We start from the raw sequence: 20191 nt of genomic DNA on the forward strand, positions 1-20191 counted from the left end.
AATCTGGGCTCACTGCAATCTCCGCCTCTCAGGTTCAAGCAATTCTCCTGCCTCAACCTCCCAAGTAGCTGGGATTACAGGTGCCTGCCACCATGCCTGGCTAACTTCTTTGTGTTTTTAGTAGAGATGGTGTTTCATCATATCGGCCAGGCTGGTTTTGAACTCCCGACCTCAAGTGATCAGCCCCCCTAAGCCTCCCAAAGTGCTAGGATTACAGATGTGAGCCACTGTGCCCAGTCACTCTTCATCTGTAAGGCATTCTCGGTCAATCTAGCATAAAAGAGATACACAGCCATGCCTCTGGCACTCTGTCTTCCTTACCCTGCTCAGTTTTTCTCCATTTTATTGATTCCCATCAGAAATACCAGGTATCTGCTCATTTATTATTTATTTATTTCCTCCCTCGACTCCATTGGAACGTAAGCTCCAGGAAGGCAAAGAATGTCCTTTGTCCACTCTTACAGCACCAAAGCCCAGAACAGAGCCTGACACTTAAGTGTTCATTCATATCTGTTAAATAAATGAAAACATTCAGCCCATAGGTGAGATGGCATTGATGAAAACTCAGCCAGGCAAAGGAGTAGCAGAGAAAAAGGCGTGAAGAGGGCCCCAGATAAAGAGAAAACATGAACAAAACAAGAAGGTGTGGTTAGTTCCAGAAACAGAAAGACATTTGGTATTAGTCAGTGGTGCTCACTGTTGGTTGCCTGGCCAGAATCCATCCACCCACTCCTCTTCTAATAGATCCCCAATTTTGAACATATGCCCACCACCCCCATATACACACGCCCCACATCACCCAGCAGAGTCCGCCCCACGCGTTGTTATCATACAAACGCTGGTCCCGGTAGGATGTATTTCCTAGGTTCCCATGGCAGCCACCGGTTTGACCCAAGGGAGGTGCTGATTAGAGATAGGAGGTGCTATGGACTGAACTGTGTCCCCCCAAAATTCACACATTGAGCCCCTACCTCCACTGTTGTATTTGGAGACAGGACCTTAAAGGATGAATTAAGGTTCAGTGAGGGTGTAAGGGTGGGGCCCTAACCTGATAGGACAGATGTCCTTGTAAGAAGAGAAAGAGACCCCAGAGCCCTCTCGCTCTGCATACACACAAAGGAAAGGCCACATGAGGACACAGGGAGCAAGTGGCCATCAACAAGCCAGGAGGAGGGCCCTCACCGGGAACCAACCCTGCTGACACCCTGATCTTCGACCTATCTCCAGAACTGAGAAAACAAATGTCTGTTGTTTACACCAGCCACTGTGTGGTATTCTATTATGGAGGGGCAAGCTGACAAATCCAGGAAGAGAAGGAAAGAGCCAGGATATCCCCCTCCCTTCTTCCTTGACTCTAGCAGCATTCCCGCTTCCCCCAGGACGAGAGGCCCACGTGGCTCCTGTTCCTGCCAGGTGACTGAGGCCCAATCTTCAATCTTCGGACGATGTCCTGACAACTGTGTCTTGCTGCCTGCTAACCTCTGGGTGGCCACAACTTCCCTTGCTGGCTTCTCAGCCCTTCGTGACCTATGTGACCAATTCCCTTCATTCATTCCCCTCTGTATCAAGAACTCACACTGATTCCTGTGTTCCTTGCTGCACCCTGCCTGACACCTTCTATGGAGCATAAGGTGCCTGAGGGGAAGGCAGCACCAGAGCAGGTTCAAGGGCATGCAGAGGCCAGTTCACCAGACTCCTTGCCCATCTAACTGCAGAGTTGGAATCATATCTAGAGACCAATGAGGAGCCATCCCTGCAGGCTTTTCAGCAGGTGGAGGGACATGTTTAGGGCTCCATTTTAGAAAGATCAAGTCACAATGAGCATCTACCAGCAGCGCCTGGAGAATAATTCTTTGCGGCCTATATTTTCCACGTGGTTTCTCTAATGCTGTGTAAACATAGCCCAAGACTTTTTTCCCCAAAAGAAATGATAGTGGACAGAGAACAGAGAAACAACAAAGAATAGAAGGTGAGAGCTGGCCTTGCACCTTCCCTAGAGCTAGGCCTTCTGGCTTCTAAATTATGTCTAGCTCCTAAATTGTGTGCAAACCACAATTTGGGGGGGCCCACTACTGAAGCAACAGTGTCCCCACTCACACTCATTCCCTTTACAAACCCCAGACTCTTGAATTTAAAAGGGAAGAAGGGGTCAGGCACAGTGGTTCATGACTGTTATCCCAGCACTTTGGGAGGCCAAGGTGGGCAGATCACTTGAGGTCAGGAGTTCAAGACCAGCCTGGCCAACATGGTGAAAACCCATCTCTACTAAAAATACAAAAGTTAGCCAGGTGTGGTGGCATGCGCCTGTAGTCCCCACTACTTGGGAGGCTCAGGTGGTAGAAACACTTGAATTGGGGAGGCAGAGGTTGCAGTGAGTGGAGATAGCACCACTGCACTCCAGCCTGGGTGACAGATTGAGACTTCGTCTTTAAATAAATAAATAAATAAATAAAAGCAAAGAAGAGTAGAGGCTGAGAAAATGCAAACAAGAAACACCCCAGGCAGCACTTTGCATATAGGATTTATCAATTCCAAGTAAGGGTGTCATATGGGGAATGCCAGCTGGTAGCTATAATTGAAAGGGCCAGGAGTTTGGTCTGTATGATTAGTCACACGAAGCTAGGAGAAGCCTAATTGTTCTTTGTCATTCTTCAGCAAAACTTCTCTCTCCCTTCTTTTAGTTGGTTTGCCTTTCTCCCTTTTTCCCTTCCTTTTCTTTTTCTTTTTTTTTTTTTTTTTAATATTCTTGGAAACCCTTTTCTGCCAATCACTGTCAGCGGCTACTCAGGCCTGAGCAGAGCAGCAGCAGATGCACAATGAGATATGCAGACTTGGAAATGAGCTGTGGACGGTGCGTGGGAGGGAGCACTCCTCTCACGAGAAAGAGCAGAGAAAACACTCAATGCGAATACAGCCTTAGACAAATTCTAATCTAATAAGAATCATTCTTCAGGTGCACAGACGGGCAGAAAACAGAAGTAAACGCTTCATCATGCAGAACTGATTTCTTTTAAGTAATCATAGGAATGTAATTCTCCAAGAGGTCGCTGAGATTCATACATATTGCTAATATATTTAAAGCTGAAGAGGGAAAGACAGCAGTCCCCAAACAGTGGTGCTGGAACTAAATGGAAACAGACAGTGTCAGAGCTCAAGGTGAGGCTTCCTGTCCCAAGAGGCCAGGAATCATGAGAGATGCTCCTATGACAGGTATCCTTAATTCTCCAGGTCAGAGGGTCTGGTTAGGGCAGTTAGGGGAGGGGAGACAGGTTTTAAGAACACTGGCTTCTTTTACAAAACAGCAAATATTTCCTAGTGCTTGAGAAATGCCATGGATTTCAGGAAAAGGCTCATGAGGAAATTCAGAAGATCTATTTCTCTCCTGGCATCTCTCACTCATCATCAACCTAGACTCACCTCTGTTCATCGGTGTGTGCAAGTGATCCTCTGTCATCTTCACAGCCACCTACACAGAACCACTACACAGGGCCTATGGCTGGGAAGCAGCGTGGGGTGGGGTGGACAGGACGCCATCAGCCTTCCACTTAGGCTCTTGTGGCTAATCTGGGAACATTAAGGTGACATATGGGGTCCTTGAGATACACTTGCAGGACTAGTTTTATAACCTGTTTCAGCATTTCATCATTTTTTAATACAGTGGAGATGACTGGGACTTCTCTTCAACTCTGAGATGGCCTTGGAATTAACGACTTGATGAAGAAAGTCTTCATCTGTAAGATCAGCATGTCCCAGTGTCCCCCAAGGAGCAGATAAATCCTGATTCCTTTGATATTTTATGTACAAGGTCTCAATTGGATCTCCTTAGAGTGTATGCTTTAGGGTGGGTGGAAACCCTTTTTTTCTGAAAAAATACGCAACCATTGAATTCCAAGGAAAAGAACATTAAAACATTAACAACAAAAATGATCCTTCTTTAAGCCCCTAGAACTTTATGACAATTTGTCACACATCAACTGTGCCTGCGTGTTCTCACCCTGTCTGTCTCTGTCTCTCTCTGTTCCAGCCTGTCACTCTCTCTGATATACTTTTCCCTCCCCTCTTCACCTGGCCAACTCCAGCTCATCTTCCAAACCTCATCCCTGAGGAGTCCCTTCCTCAGGGAAGTCCCTACCTTTACTAATACAACCCTCTATGATACTATCTCATGGCCTCCTGCACTCCTCCGTGGTGCCAGTCACAGCTGCAAATCACTGATGGTTGACGTCATTATTTGTTTAATGCCTGTCTCCCCTCCCTGACTGTGAACTCCATGCAGGCAGTATGAGAGCCCTAAAAATGTGCCACTCAGGTCTCCTGCTGTAGGGAGGATAAGTGAACAAATGGCCCCAGCTGCTCTGCTCTGAACCCACCACTGCATTGTGCCCACACCACGCTTCCCAAGGGCTACTCCCAGCCACTGGCTGAGCCCAGCACTGAATGCAGTCCCTTCTGGCCTCTGGGACTCCTCTGACAAGCTACCTTACATCGAGGGCTCGGTAGTCACCTAACCAAAACCTTCCCAGCATGGGGCTTCAGCCTGAGACTCTTCTTCCCCACCACTCCTTCCCGTCCTGCCTCCTTCACAGGGGCAGACTTGCAAGGTCATTCAATGGCTTGCGCCACTTCCTCTGGCTCCCTTTCTTGAGGACCTGTAGGATTTGCCTGTTGCAAGCAGCAGTTTCCCCTTATTACCCTCTGTTTCCTCAGGGCCTGGCACAAGGCCTGGTATATAAGAGGTGCTCAATTAAGATGTGTGAAATGCATAAATGCTCACAAACATGGGGGAAACCAGTTGAGAGAGGATGGACCAATCAGGGCAAACATGACTCAGTCTCTGGGAAACTCCTCCAATGGCATTCCCTACAGAATCAATAACAGTGCCCTATTCCTCAGGGCCTTTGTGTTATATGAATGAGCACACCTAAAGGAAACAACTGCAGGCCGCGCATGGTGGCTCATGCCTGTAATCCCAGCGTTTTAGAAGGCCGAGGTGGGCATGTCACTTGAGGCCAGGAGTTCGAGACCAGACTGGCCAAAATGACGAAACCTTGTCTTTACTAAAAATACAAAAAAAATTTACAGGTATTAATTTGTCTGATTCGAATAGTTTAAGTTTTCCCATGGTGACAAAAAAAAAAATCTTTGTGGCTTAAGACTCTCATCTGTAAATCTGAATTCTGTTCTGGACAGCCTGCATTGTCCTTCTCATTTTCCAAAGACAGAAGCTAATAAGGCTTCTGAACACACAAGGTATAAAGCTGGACCCCCAAATCCAGAGAAGGTGAGGCCCTGGCTGGCTCAGGCCTGACTTCACTCAGGAACACCTATGACATATTTCATATTTGCTGGAGTTGAGATTCAGGGACCTGAGGTCATGTCTATAGATTTGTTCTTGTGCTGAAACTCCCTTCTCTCATTAGATCTGGCAAATCCAAATCAGTTGGCTTTCCTAGCGCCATGCAAAGCACAACTGCTGACCCATTCTTGTCCCTGATGAGAGCTGGCACTCAGCCCTTTTACAGACGTGACATTTTGTTATTTTCAGTCTTTACCTTATCTCCATGACAGTGTCCAGAATTCCTTGCTCTGGGCTTGTTGTATCAGCCAGGCAACTAGAAAAGAGTCTAGTTTTATTTCTTTCCTCCTCTTTTTTGTTTTTAAATCCATGTTTCCTTTTCATAAACATTAAAATCTTCCATCCTTCCGACAATGTTTAGAATCACTGGTTATCCCAAGTGGCCAGGAAAATGTGACTGAGTTCCACTGTTGGTAGTTCACTTTTGGCAAATGCCAAAGTAGGCAAATTACAAAACCAACAGGTTCTCTTTTTTTTTCTCTCTCTCTCATTTCCAAAATACAAAGTTAAACTATAACATTAAATAAACGTATTCAAACTGTACCTAACACTCCCAGTCCCCCAACCTTGTCCCCACTTTTGGAGATTCTGATACGCTCTCCTTGTTGGTAACCTCTGCCATGGATGGGGGTGAAGGGCTGAGACATTTTGCTCCAACACTGGACGGGCTCAGAAAAATTGAAAGTGGCAGATGATCCCAACCATCTCAGCAGGAATCCATTTTGGTACCAGGACCCTTCTCCACCGAGACACAATCTTACTACAGGCCACTCATGGGACAGAAGCGACCCACCCACGAAAGGAAAGAGAGAGGCCTCTTCTGCACTGTGCCGCTCGTCTCTGACAGATGCAGCCTCCTGACTCACAGCTCCAAGGCTGCCAAAGTTCTTTCGCCCTGAAGCAGCATCTGGTTTCCTGATTAGAGCCTCTCCTTCGTCAAAGTCAAAAAACGGGTTCCCTCCCAGCAGGACCTCGAGTCCCTCTAACGCTTCTTAGGTTTAATTGGAGTAGTGGGTCGGAGAAGTCTCAACTGCCCTGGAGAGTAAGGCAGTCCCAGGGAGAGAGGCCTTCAGCCCAATCCTAGGGCTTGTCACATTGGCCTGAGTCCTATATCCAGCAAGCTGTGATCTGAGTCAATTCCATAACCGTTTCAGTACCTCCGTTTCCCCACCCATAAAACTTAGCTCTGGGACTTGGGAGTCTTAATGAGCATTGGCCTTTCCTGAATAAATTAACCAGGTGCCGGAAACATCTGTGGCTGGAGGCAAATCTACTGTATAAACAGAATATGGTATTCTTATACACACGACTGTAGCTAAAGCTCAAATACTAAGCCTGACTTCATCCTAAGTCCTGCGCAGTGGGTATCTGGGAAAAAGCCAACCTCTTCTCCTCTAGTCTAGGTTCTATTTGGAGAACTCACCTTCTCCTTTACGTTGCTCTGTTCTACTCAGGACAAAGGGGTTTCTGTCAAAAGTAAAGGAATCAATAGTTCTTACAGCATCACTTTTCATTTAAATCATATAACAATACTCCAAAAATAAATACCCCCAGGAGAATGTATGCTTCATCCAGACAAAGCCAATATCTGTCTTATTCACCACCATATCCTCAGAGTTCAGCACAGTACTGATTCATGCTAAAAATAAATTAATTGAATGAATGAATAAAAGCAATAATAGCTCTAGAAAAAAATATTATATGTTTGCATAGTTGCTTTATAGCAACTCCTTCCATGCTCTCCTCAATATATGAGTTTATTAGAGCAGAAAATACTAAGCAACTTGGTAAACTAGTGAATTAAGCCTCAGATTGAGCCTTGACAGTGAGTGGCAGAACTGGAACCAAAAGCTAGGTCTCCAAACACTCAATTCTGTCTTCTCACCTTAACAACTCACTGCTTCCCTTTATCTCTAGTTAGGGCCAGAAAACTACAGCCCTGAAAGCCGAATCCAGACCAATACCTGATTAATAAAGTTTTCAGAACACAGCCACACCCATTCATTCACAGACTGTCTATGGCTACCTTTCCACTACAGTGGTAGAGTTGAGTAGTTGCCATAGAGAGCATATGGCCCACAAAACTGAAAATATTTACTACCTGGCCCCTTACAGGAAAAAGTTAGCTGGTGCCTGCTCTATATCCTCCTTCCCCTAGAATCCCATATCAGTCCCATATCAATCCCATATCAGTCTTTAGAAACAAGGGCTCTACGGGCCGGGTGCGGCGGCTCACGCTTGTAACCCCAGCACTTTGGGAGGCTGAGGCGGGCGGATCACGAGGTCAGGAGTTTGAGACCATCCTGACCAACATGGTGAAACCCCATCTCTACTAAAAATACAAAAATTATCTGGGCATGGTGGTGCGCGCCTGTAATGCCAGCTACTCAGGAGGCTGAGGCAGGAAAATCGCTTGAACCCGGAAGGCAGAGGTTGCAGTGAGCAGAGATCGTGCCATCACACTTCAGCCTAGGCAACAGAGAGAGACTCCATCTCAAAAAAAAAAAAGAAAAGAAAAGAAAGGAAAGCAAAACAAGGGCTCTATGATTACACTGTTTTGGTCACACAGCCCCACAATCAGAAACCACTAATGAGTGCTTGCTATTGTGAGATCAAAAAGCTTTACCACATCATCTTATTTAATTCTCCCAATAACCCTATGAGATATGCATTATTACATGCATGCATAATGTGATAATAGAATTGGCCTGAACCGTATGAAATTGCCAATTTTTTTTTTTGTCGATTGAATAGTGGCAATTTCATGTAGATGAAGAGAATACCACTATCTGTTTTAGAGCTGAGAAAACAGGAGAAAGTGGTGCATTGGCACACAGTTAATAAATGAAAGAATGCTTTTTCTTCTTAAAACTTTACACTCCACTTTATTTATTCAAAGTTTTGCTAATTTTGAAGCAAAACACTCAGTCCAATGATGCTTAAGCAAGCCTTTCCCAAAATTTATTTTAGAAAATTTTCTGTTTGTCTTTTTATCACCAAGTAGTACCTATGAATATTCCACAAAACTACAGTTCCTTAGAATAGACTTTGGGGTTTCACCGTGTTAGCCAGGATGGTCTCGATCTCCTGACCTCATGATTCACCCGCCTTGGCCTCCTAAAGTGCTGGGATTACAGGTGTGAGCCACGACGCCGGGCTAACATGGTGAAACCTCATCTCTACTAAAAATACAAAAACTTAGCTGGGCCTAGTGGCATGCGCCTGTAATCCCAGCTACTCGGGAGGCTGAGGCAGGAGAATCGCTTGAACCTGGAAGGTGGAGGTTGCAGTGAGCCAAGATCACGTGCCATTGCATTCCAGCCTGGGCAAGAGAACGAGACTCCGACTCTGTCTCAGAAAAAAAACCAACAAACTTTGGGAAATACCTCCTCTTCCTTCATCCGCATCAAATTTCCCGCAGCATTTCATAGATGCTGCCACCTCTGTCCCCCTAGCTGCAGTCATCTCCTGCCTCCCCAGAACACCCACGCAACTGCATTGGGCATGCCCAATTTGAAAACACACTGTACCTTGCTCCACTGGCAAGTGAAACTCCATTTTCACTGAAATAACCTGAATAGTCCATGCTACTGCTGAAGGCTAATTCCATGTACAGGAATAATGAAGCTCCATCCTTGTGTGGCCTCGGATGTCAATTTCATACACTTGACCCATCCCATACCTCCCATTTGTGATGCAAATAAACTGCATGTTCCATCAAAACTGCTTGCTCTCCCTCTAAGCTCATGTTCTTTCAATTTATGTGCCAAATCAGTTGTAGACTCTTTCTCAGCAGTAGTGTCCAAAATCTGAGGCTGCCCTCTAGCCCAGGTCAATTAAGCAACATAATATATGTTTAACTGTGCTTTGCTTTTTTTAAAGAGAGAAAAAATTGCTTATATATATAAAGTTTACCATCAGGGTTCCATTGATTTCTGTTTTCCTTAGGAGTAATGTAAGTCCGTAATTTGTCATAATCATCCTCCCTACCCCCTCCTAAAATATTAACTTGGTAGGGAGGTTGGAAATCTATCACAACCAATGGCAGACATCTGTGCACAAAAATAGCAAGTCTCGTATTTAATATTTTACTGCCATATTTTGAAACAACTGGTTAGGCAGCTGCTACTGTTATCTTCCAATTACTTCTCATTTTTCCAGAGACTTAAATGCAAGCTGTAACAAATTAAATCTAAATTTCTATATTCTCTTTTAAAAAAATAAAAGACTTTCAGAAAATACTGCAAAAAAAAAAAAGTCATTGAGAGGAAAAAAGGGATAATGGTGGCAAGACAGAGGACTTTATTCTCAATGCCTCCAATGATTTGTTTCATTTGCCTTAAGGTGTGAAGATATGCTGACCCCTAAGTGATCCAAGTATTCTCCATTCTACATAGGCTCTTAGTGCTGAGACTTTGCAGTTTGCTAAAAATGCACTTTTCCCTGCAATCTTGTAAAGGTGCCCCAGAAGAAATTCCTTCACCAAATGTTAAATATTCTCTGTTGTACCACTCTATCAATGGTGTTCAAATACACAAGAAATCTCTCAAAAGCCTTAATAGGTCATATTTTGGAGATACCAATTCAAACAAAATTGCACATGGTTCCAATTGAACAGCAAGGCGGAGAACAGTGTAATTATTTTTTTTCCAACATCAACATGCTTTTCACCTTAAATTATGAGGCTTGTGCTTAGAAATTATATTTTTGCTAGAAAAATAACACATTTTCTAATCTTGTCTGTTTTCATTTTTCATACGATTCCTTGATCCTAATTAGGGGGCACTGAGGGTGAGGGTAGGAGGCCGACTGTCACAATTTGTCCCTCTGACTGCCAGGATTCAACATAGATTTCAAAATAGAACTTACGTCACTGAGGCTTTTTTCAGTGCAAGGTTCTGAAGTGGAACACACTTGCTGTTCTTTTGGATGCGGTATCTACACTGCTCCTGCACAGTGGCTGCTGCAATCAGCACAGCCATGTAAACAATGCGCCACTATCATCTCAGGCTTATGGCATACGAGGCTCTCTAGACCTGGATCCTTCCAGCCTTCTGTGTCCCTCCTCCTCCTCCTCTTCCCTGTCCTTGTCCTCTTCCTGCACAGTCCAACATAACTATTACTCTTAACCTCTCCAGAGAGGTGGCTATTCTATAGTGAGTTATTAAATTATGTCTTCCCAATATCATCTGGTAACTTTAAAAATAAAAAAAAAAAAAAAGTCCAGGCCTTATTGAAGCCTTTAGTTTAAAAGAAAAATCTTGGCTGGTCGCGGTGGCTCACACCTATAATCCCAGCACTTTGGGAGGCAGAGGCGGGGGATCACCTGAGGTCAGGAATGCGAGACCAGCCTGGCCAACATGGTAAAACCCAGTCTTACTAAATATTAAAAAATTAGCTGGGTGTGGTGGTGTGCACCTGTAATCCCAGCTACTCAGGAGGCTGAGGCAGGAGAATCACTGAACCCAGGAAGCGGAGGTTGCAGTGAGCTGAGATCACACCACTGCACTCCAGCCTGGTTGACAGAGACTCCATCTCAAACAAACAACAACAACAACAACAAAACTTCCTTGGCAACACAGCCAGATTCAGGAACAACAGTATGGACACCTCCTGACTTAGGATGGCTTAACTTACAATTTTTCAACTTTACGATGGTGCAAAACAATGCACATTCAGTAGAATTTTGTTTTGTGATTGCCTTTTTGTTTTTTGTAGAAGCAGGTCTCACTGTTTCCCAGGTTCAGGTTGATCTCAAACTCCTGGGCTCAAGCAATCCTCCTGCCTTGGCCTCCCAAAGTGCCGTGATTAGAGGTGTGAGCCACGGCACCCAGTCTGAATTTTCAATTTTGATCTTTTTCTGGGCTAGTGATAGACAGTATGATACTTTTTCATGATGCTGGCAGTAGCAGCAAGTTGCAGCTCCCAGTCAGCCACCCAATCACAAGGCAAACAACAGATACAGTGTATTGTATTCAGCAAATCACATGAGATATTTACCACTTTATAACAAAATAGGCTTTGTGTTATTTTGCCCAACTGTAGGCTAATGTAAGTGTTCTGAGCACGTTTAAGGTAGGCTAGGTTATGCTATGGTATAGGTTAGGTGTATTCAATGCATTTTCAACTTACAATATTTTCAACTTACAATGCATTTGTCTGGATGTAACTGCACTTCATGTCAAGGAGCATCTGTACTAGAGCAAACTTCACCAAGCAATAGTCACCTGGGGTGCTGGTGAAGACAGGTGCTTGGTTAAGCTTCATCCTCAAAGCTCTTGATTCAGTTAAGTCTGGGTTGAGGCCTGAAAATTTGCATTTCTAACAAGTTTGCAGGTGATTTTTACCCAGGGGCCATACTTTGGGAACCACTGCTCTTGGTTAAGTCCCATGTGGGCCAGGACTGACTGCCTTTTCATCCTGTGTTGAGCAGTGTTTGGCACATTTGTTGAATGAACACCAAAAGGTGCTCTAACACTACAGAAGAAGACCCACCACAACAATCACCATTCTGAAAGTGTAAGTTCGCAATTCTACTTTCCCCTACAGTGTACTCCATTTGCAAAGCTAAAACCCACTCACCAAATTACAGATAGAGACTCAGAAGAGCTGAACTGACAAGGTAAGCAACACTCACTTCTTTAGATGGAAAAGTGCCACTCTTGTTGGTTGGCTGGTTAGTATTTTTTTCCTAGAGGCAATGAAACGCAAGCATCTAGTACATAAGAGCATCAGCAGAGGATCATCTTTTTGTCCAAGTGTGCTTTAAATCAGGAGCAATGATTTACTGCTAACACCGAATATATTTGGAATTCATGGAGGCTTTGCATTGCCAGCCTCTAATCACTTCTCAGCAGAGTACCCTAAAATTGCTACAGTCCGTCAATACAAGATGGGAGATTGTCATCTGAGACTTGCCACATCAGGGATTCATCAAAATGCAAAATCAACACCTTCCCTTTCTCTCTCTCCTACTCCAGATGATTTCTGAATTTCTGTACATTTGTGAATTCACAGAAGCATGAACAAAATGACATGAACATTACAAATGCAAATGTCTTTTTTCCTAACAAATTACTCCAGTTTTCCCTTCTTCCGTAAGTCTGGGAGTGGGAGGGAAGGGACTTCACATTACCATTTCAAAATCACCATACGTTTAGAAGCCAGAGGCAAAGGTGAATTATAGTTTCCCAAAGTTTTTTTTTTTTTTTGTCAGGGATAGCTTTTAAACACACACAACCTCAAATATTATTTTTCCAATGCTGATTTGTACTTTTATAAACTGACATCTGCATCTCTAAAGAAATACTTCACTGTCAAAAGAATCTAGCTTAATTTTGTTTGCTTGAAATGTTTTCATCTCAGACCAAATTTAGAATACCCCACCACCTGTTGACACCAGTCTCCAGCAAAGCAGCAAAAGCTCACCTCTTCGATTCACTTCCCAGCTGGAACAGTCAAGGTGATGGGAGTTGTAAGATGTTTTAAATTAGCCTCCAACTCCTTGTTCATTTCTGAGAAAATGTGCTACCCTTGAGCTCCAAATGCTACACACTTCAACTCCAGAGTACATCAGGGAACATCTTTGCAAACAGAAAGCCTCAGTCATGTAAGGGACGACATTCTGCAGAAAATGTTGAGGCACAGAACAATACAAAAGAATGGTGAATAGGCTATTTTGGAAACAATACTTAAAGCTCTTGGTACCTCCTTCCACATCTGTGAATGGGGGTGTTAGTGGTCATAGAGAGACAGGGCTAGTTCCTCTCGTTCTAAAGTTCTGTTAACATATTTGCAAAATACAATAGCTTTTATTCTCCAATTCCCACTTAAGGCTGCACCTTCTAAAATCTTTTGAGGCCTGATAGCAAATAAGCCTTGGCATATACATGAGTTGGGTTAGGTTTTTTTTTTTTTTTTTTTTTTTTTTTTTTCAGGTTGAAAGCAACAGAAACCAATTCATACTTGCTGAAGAAAAAAAAAAGGCAGTGTTATTAAGAAGATTCAAATGTGTTTTTGTGAGATTCAAAGGCAAGAATCTAAACAGGTCTCAGAAAGAGACTGGAAACAGAAAATGCCAGTGTTAGGAACCCAGGCAACATTCTTTTATTCTTGCTCCAGCTGATTCTTCCTTCCCCTGTGCTCTGCTACTCAGCCCTGAATTACAAAGTAGTCAAGAGATTAGACCACCTCTACTCAAGGAATGAGCCTGGATGGACACTAGCATCCCTTAATTGTTGTTTATCTGAAAAGGGTAACTGATTAAGATATCCACCTTGGTCCAGTTATAAACACAGACACTGGGAGCTCACCACTGGGATCCTGTGAATCTTGGGATCAGGGTGAATTAGGAGGTGAAACAGTTCCCAGAAATCGGTGGGGGAAGGAGAGAGAGTGGCTCACCACAGAAGAGATGATATTGCATAATATCTTGAAACAAGAACTATTTTTCCAGTCCTGTTGAGAAGGGAGGTTGTGCCACATATTGGTACGAGTACGATGGCACTGACACCCAAGACTTGAGCTCCAGTCCCGGTCCTGCCACCTAGGGGTGGGTTAGCTTTAGTCAATCACAACCTTTTTGAAGTTTGGTTTCATCATTACTAGGCCATTACTGTGTTTCAAACCTAGTATTTTCTGTATCAAGTGCATTGGCTTCATAATGCATTTTGTACTCTTCTCACATTCCAAATGAGAAGATACATGAGCAAGTACTTTGTGAACTGTAAAATATTAATTTGGAGATTGCTCTTAAAAAGCTACTTGAAATATAATTTGTCTATTCATTTTCTTCTCCAAGTACCTAGGTCTTTTGCCTCCATAATGAGGGCCCCCTTCAGCAGGTATGGAACATCAGACACTACAAGCCAAAACAATACCTACATTAAGACTAGGCAAGATATTTTATATAAGCAGCACATGCATTTTGGTTTCTTTGGCCCATTGCCTCCTGAGTATGCATTTGTTATAGTACAGTGGGCTAGAAGTGGAAATCATCAGCTGCAATTCCTCTCTGTATCTCATTAGAGGTCTAGTTTCCCCTTAATGCACATGAAGACCTTTCATTAGCAATAATGGGAGCTGCATGCATCAAAAGGAAAAATAGACCTTCTCCATTGTGATCTAGGAGATGAGGTTATTGGGACACTTGCTTGCCTGACTGGAGAATTATGACATTCAGAGATGCATGATTATATCATGGAAAAATTAAAATCTGTGACTGTTTTAATAAATAAAATGCAATTTTAAAACCTCAAAATGGAGGTCAAGAATCAACACTAAAGAATCATAGGCAGATTGAAATTAGGAATGAGTTAAGTAAGTGAAAGCCAAATGACAAGATAAACAAAGGTAGAGAAAGATCACCCAGGGGATTTGACAAAATAAGAACTGTTTCCAATACACACATAGTTAAGACACTGGCAAGAGAGACTACAGTCCAAGAAGAGACGGCAAGGACCATTTACTGTCAGAAACGGTAAACACTGCTGAAAGTTAAACAAATCCTTTGCTTCCATGTCCACAAAGGAAGATGGAAGATGCCAGAAATGGCTGTGCCCTGAAGAAGGGTCAATGAAATAAAATATTACTCAAGGAAATAAAAGTGACACCTGAGTTTGTCTTGAGGTTGACATAAATGCCAGAAGTAGTATTTTCCTGCTGCAATAAACTTTAAACAAGGACACTTGGAAATTGGCCATTCTGCATTGTTAAGGGTCTGAGGAAGAAGTGGCACAGTCCTTCACTTTTGTTCAAATGTAAAAACAGTAATCTGTGGATTAAAGAAGAATATATTTTCTTTACAAGACAACATCAGACAATGAGACCTATTTTGGGGGTTAGGTGGGTGGAGAGGGTGGAGAATGCTCAGGAAAAGCAAGCAAACATGTACCTGAATCCTATTAAAAAGACTTCAAGCAAGTCCTAGAATAAGCATGAATTCAGCACTCCATCTCCTATCCTCTCAACTCATGATGGTTCCAGGGAATACTCAAGTTAGTAAGACTCTGAGGATGTATTCAATCTGTAGCAGACTGCTTGCCATTGAGTCAATGAAGATTGAAAATTGGTTGCCTAACTCATAAAAAAATGCAAATGGCCTCAACATCTAATCTCATGGAATCAAACATTTTTTAAGGACAGGTGCAGTGGCTCACATCTGTAATCCCAGCTCCTTAGGAAGCCAAGACAGGAGCCAAACCAGCCAGGACAACAAGGCTAAACTCCGTTTCTACAAAAAAAATTAGCCAGGTGTGATGGTATGTGCCTAGGGTTCCAGCTATTCGGGAGGCAGAGGTGGATCACCTGAGCCCGGGAGGTTGAGGCTGCAGTGAGCGGTAATTGTGCCCACTACACTCCAGCCTGGGTGACCGAGTGAGACTCTTTCTCAAAAAAAAAAAAAAAAGTATAGAGATGGAGTCTTCACTATGCTACCCAGGCTAGCCTTTAAAAAAAAATGTCAATAGCTTTTGGGGGTACAAGGGGTTTTTAGTGACATGGATAATCTGTATAGTGAAGTCTGACATCTTAGTGCATCCTTCACCTGAGTAGTGTACATTATACCCAATATTCAGTTTTTATCCCTCATGCCCCTCTTACTCTCTTCCCTTCTGAGTCTCCAAAGTTCATTATACTCTGTGTGCCCACAGCTTCACTTAGAATAATGGCCTCCAGATCCATCCGAGTTGTTGTAAAAGTCATTATTTCATTCTTTTTTATGGCAGAGTGGTATTCTATGGTGTAGAAATCAAATTTTGACTTTAATAAACTCATCACATGGCAACTACGCGAGGGCTTAACAGCCTGTAAGAATAAGAATGCAAGTACTCAGACAAAGAAATGTCTGGGAAACACCGAACTCCTACAGAATGGCCCAAACTCCCCACATTGGAGCAGGGGTATAGCACTTGGAAACCATTCCTTGCATACCCGGACTATATCCCTAAAATCACCATTGAGGCTTATGCAAAGCCATTTCAGGTTCTGCCAGTAGCTGTGGAGCCAAACAGGCTCAAGGTGCATTATAGGGAAGTGTCTATTTATATAAAATGAAGTCTCAAGGCAGTAAGTACTAGGCCACAGCAGTTTGCTCCAGCAAACTGTAATTTCCCAATAGTTCTGGCTTCCTATTTCTCACTCCCTGTCTCCAGTAATTTGGAGTCAAATGAACCCCTCTTCCAATCCATCCAAAGAGGTTCTGACTCCAACTTGGGAGTCACCACTTTTCAATAATAGACTCAGATCTTTATCCTTTTACCACAATGACTATTAACCACTGTCACCCCTTCTGTACAACCCAATTGCAGAAGGATCCTCTGTTAACATGGCCCAAAGCACTCTCCAAGGCACTTATGACTTCATACTCTATCAGCTTGTAGGACTTCATGTTCCCTTCTTGGGTCATATGCTGATTAATAAGCTCAGAGGCAGAATCTGTGTCCTGTCTGCTTTGGAACATCAAGAGTGCTTGACATAGTAGGTATCTGATAAATACTTCTTAAATTAGAAAAAAAAAAGAGAGAATTTTTAAAAATACAGAGCTAGCATAGAAAAAGATGCCCAGTGAGATTTTTTTTTAAAATGACAGTGTATTACATACTTAATTTGGTTGAGAAGTGTTTATTGTAAAAATGGAGTTTATAATGAAAATAAAAAATTATTTCATAACATTCTGATACCACTACACCTGAGTTCGATGCCAGCATGGTTTGAAAGTGAAGCTGATACAAGTTTTCTAAAGGATGTTAAAAAACTATAGTATGAAGAATGTAATAATATTTTAGAAGACATTAAAACTTAAATATTTAGATGCTGTATATGAGAAATCACACCAAGCTCTCTTAATTAGGTTAACATTAGACAACTACATCTCAATTTCCAAGCTTCCAAAAATAGGTAAAAAAATTATTTTAGTTTAAGTTGATATTAAAAACACATTGGGAGCAGGAATCCATTCTTTCAGGTTTTAAGAATAATGTTATGATTATTAGATTATTATCAATGATTAGAAAGTTAATGTCAAATATCTTCTACTTTCTTGGTTTTTTAACATTCGATTTTTTCATTAGATTAACATGCTAGCTTTTCCTGTCTTTCTGTTCTTGGGTAAGTGAATGATTTATTAGACCTGGTGCTCAATTTACGAGCTTTTCTCATTTCAACTTGAAGAAACTGCAAATATTTATAGAAGATGAATCACATGTATTTGTTCCTGAAAAATGTCAGAATACAGCACTCAAATCAAATGCCGAACAGAAGCTATTCCCTAACACTACATACTGTGGCGAGTTAATTTCCACTGACATGTTTTCCTAAACAGTTTTTCCCACTATGATTAATTCCCAAATCAAAAATTACTGAAATCTTTCATTAAGTGTGTATTCATGTTACCAAGATATAGAAATCTAAACAATCATAAAGAATTTAAGAATCACACCTTTAAAAACATATTGAATTGACTCAGTTAAATTACTCTTAATCCTAAAAAATACATAAGTTATGTTCCAACTGATTTTCCTTGCTTTTATTTTGCTCGCTTGCTACTTTAAGGGTGCTTTGTTTAACTCCACAATAAGATCCCAAGTCTAGAAAATTAGAATGCAGAGGAAATGAACCAACAGAGCATATACTCCACAAGGGCAGGGGCCATGGCCAGTTTTACCTGTTAATATATCCCTTCTGTCTAACACAGTCACACTCAAATTTGTGTTGACTCCAATTTAAGGTTATCACTATGGGTAGGAGGGCAAAACAGCAGAAACTTTTGAAGGCAATTTGGCAATACAGGTAAAAGGGCTGACATTTTACATACCCTTTGACTCGTAAGTCTATATCAAAGATTATCCTAAAGAAATAATTATATATGTGAGCAAGTACTTGGATTCTAGAATGTTCTAGGCCCTGAGCTTTTTAAAGTAAAACCCAGCCAACAACCCAACATCCTGGAAGGGGTGCCTAGAATGCCTCCCTCATCATAAATACAGGCTGAGTGGCTGCCACATACCAACCAGAGTTTGCATGCTTCACCCAAACCCCCAACAAACGTCTTCAACACTCACAGCCACCTTGTGAGGTAACAGACCTGCTCTCATTTCTTATCTTATCTGGTTGACAAAAAGTGAGGCACAGGGAGGTTAAATAACTTAGGAAAAGGAGGAGCCAGGTTTCAATCTGGCTGCCTGATCCCAGAGCCCCAGTAGTGCCTTCAAAACAATGTTGTCCAAAAAATGAATTTCTCGACTCTCCTGATCTTTCACCCATCTCCTTTTTTGATAACCCTCCTAGGGGATCATAATCAAAAATTCTCATAGGCACACCCCCACCAGCTGGCAGATCTCACTGATTTTGGTGATGCACAAACAGCAAAATCTGTGATTATCTTTAAAATATAAAAATTACTAAAATATGTTTTTCCCAATGTACTACCATTCTCCTAATTCCTAATTCCTCATTCACAACACTTGCTGTTAGCAGAATTATACTTCATGGTTTCGGAAGACAAATGTGAAGTCCTAAATAATATAAACAAAATGAAGTTTACTTGTGGTGGCATGATTCTTTTCTTTAAAATTTCTGTGGCCTGTCCAGGAGTGGTGGCTCATGCCTGTATTCCCAGCACTTTGGGAGACAGAAGCAGGTGAATCACTTGAGGTCAGGAGATGCAGACCAGCCTGGCCAACATGGTGAAACCCCATCTCTACTAAAAATACAAAAATTAGCCAGGCGTGATGGCACACGCCTGTAGTCCCAGCTACTTGGGAGGCTGAGGTGGGAGAATCGCTTGAACTCAGAAGGTGGAGGTTGCAGCGAGCTGAGATTGTGCCACTACACTCCAGCCTGGGCAACAAAGTGAGACTCTGTCTTTAAAAATAATGATGATAATAATAATCTTGTGTCCCATGGCCTATGAGTACGGGGACTGGTTGACCATCACCTGCAGAAATGAAAAGGCAGACTGACCGGAATTAGGCCAAGTGATTCCGGGTCCGGGGACAAGGAATTCCTGGGCAAGTACATGAAGCCTGGACTTCTCTCGGGGTGCTCATTTGGGAGCAGCGAAGTATAAAAATTCAAAAAAAAAATATTCACAGTAGATGCCAGGGCCTCGGGGTCAGGAGCTGGGATAAGTAGTTGGGAGAAGTGGGTTGAAAGGTGGCACCTGAGAGGCAGCAAAAGTGGTGGAGCCTATAGGTTTCTGCCTGGTGAAACTTCCGGTCAGGGCTTGTTTTAGCTTTTAGAAATAAACAAGTATAAGCAAACAAAAGTAAGCCAGAGAAAATACATCTAAAATCAAATGAGCAAGCAGTCAAGATTTTGTTTTATTTTATTATGGCTAGAAAGACACTGTTATAGCCAAAATCGGCAATGACACTAAAGAAATCCTCTGTGCTTTTCAATATGCAAATATATTTCTTCCAAGAGTTGCCCTGGTGTGACTTCAAGAGTTCATGTTAACTTCTTTTCTGGAAACTTCCTTTTCTTAGTTGTTGTATTCTTGAAGAGCCTGGGCCATGAAGAGCTTGCCTAAGTTTTGGGCAGTGAACTCCTTGATGTTCTGGCAGTAAGTGTTTATCTGGCCTGTGCATTTGAGAAAGAGATAGAGCCATAATGTTCCACAAATTGTAAAATGATCCAGAAAGCTAGTCAAACAGAAAAATCAGCATAAAACAGAATCACCTGTTTATTGTTTTGAATCCAGAGTTTATTTTTCCATAAGGGATAAGAAATACAAGTTCTTTTGAAAATAAGCTACTGTCCACTCTCAATTACATGGAGAATAAAGAAAAACTACTCCTCAAAAGCTTATCAGCCCTAAGGACATAATAGCTGTCAGTC

General features: G+C 42.4%; 1 protein-coding gene across 8 annotated transcripts in view, besides 1 other annotated feature; it reads right to left on the reverse strand.

Moving 5' to 3' along the window:
* Positions 1060 to 1354: an enhancer, noted in NCBI's record as "tiled region #10947; HepG2 Activating DNase matched - State 8:EnhW". NCBI's record gives its function as "activates a minimal TATA promoter and a strong SV40 promoter by Sharpr-MPRA in HepG2 cells {active_cell/tissue: HepG2}" and the evidence as "EXISTENCE:reporter gene assay evidence [ECO:0000049][PMID:27701403]".
* EIF3H (eukaryotic translation initiation factor 3 subunit H) overlaps positions 16960 to 20191 on the reverse strand; it is a 124245-nt gene continuing 121013 nt past the window's right edge. For all 8 annotated transcript variants that reach the window (XM_047422386.1, XM_047422384.1, XM_047422385.1 and 5 more), the window contains one exon: positions 16960 to 19933. In XM_047422386.1, the coding sequence (XP_047278342.1) occupies positions 19836 to 19933 (98 nt within the window). In that variant the 3' untranslated portion in view covers positions 16960 to 19835. The remainder of the gene's footprint in view (positions 19934 to 20191) is intronic.

Source organism: Homo sapiens, chromosome 8, assembly GCF_000001405.40.
Source record: "Homo sapiens chromosome 8, GRCh38.p14 Primary Assembly".
Classification (NCBI taxonomy): Eukaryota; Metazoa; Chordata; class Mammalia; order Primates; family Hominidae; genus Homo; species Homo sapiens.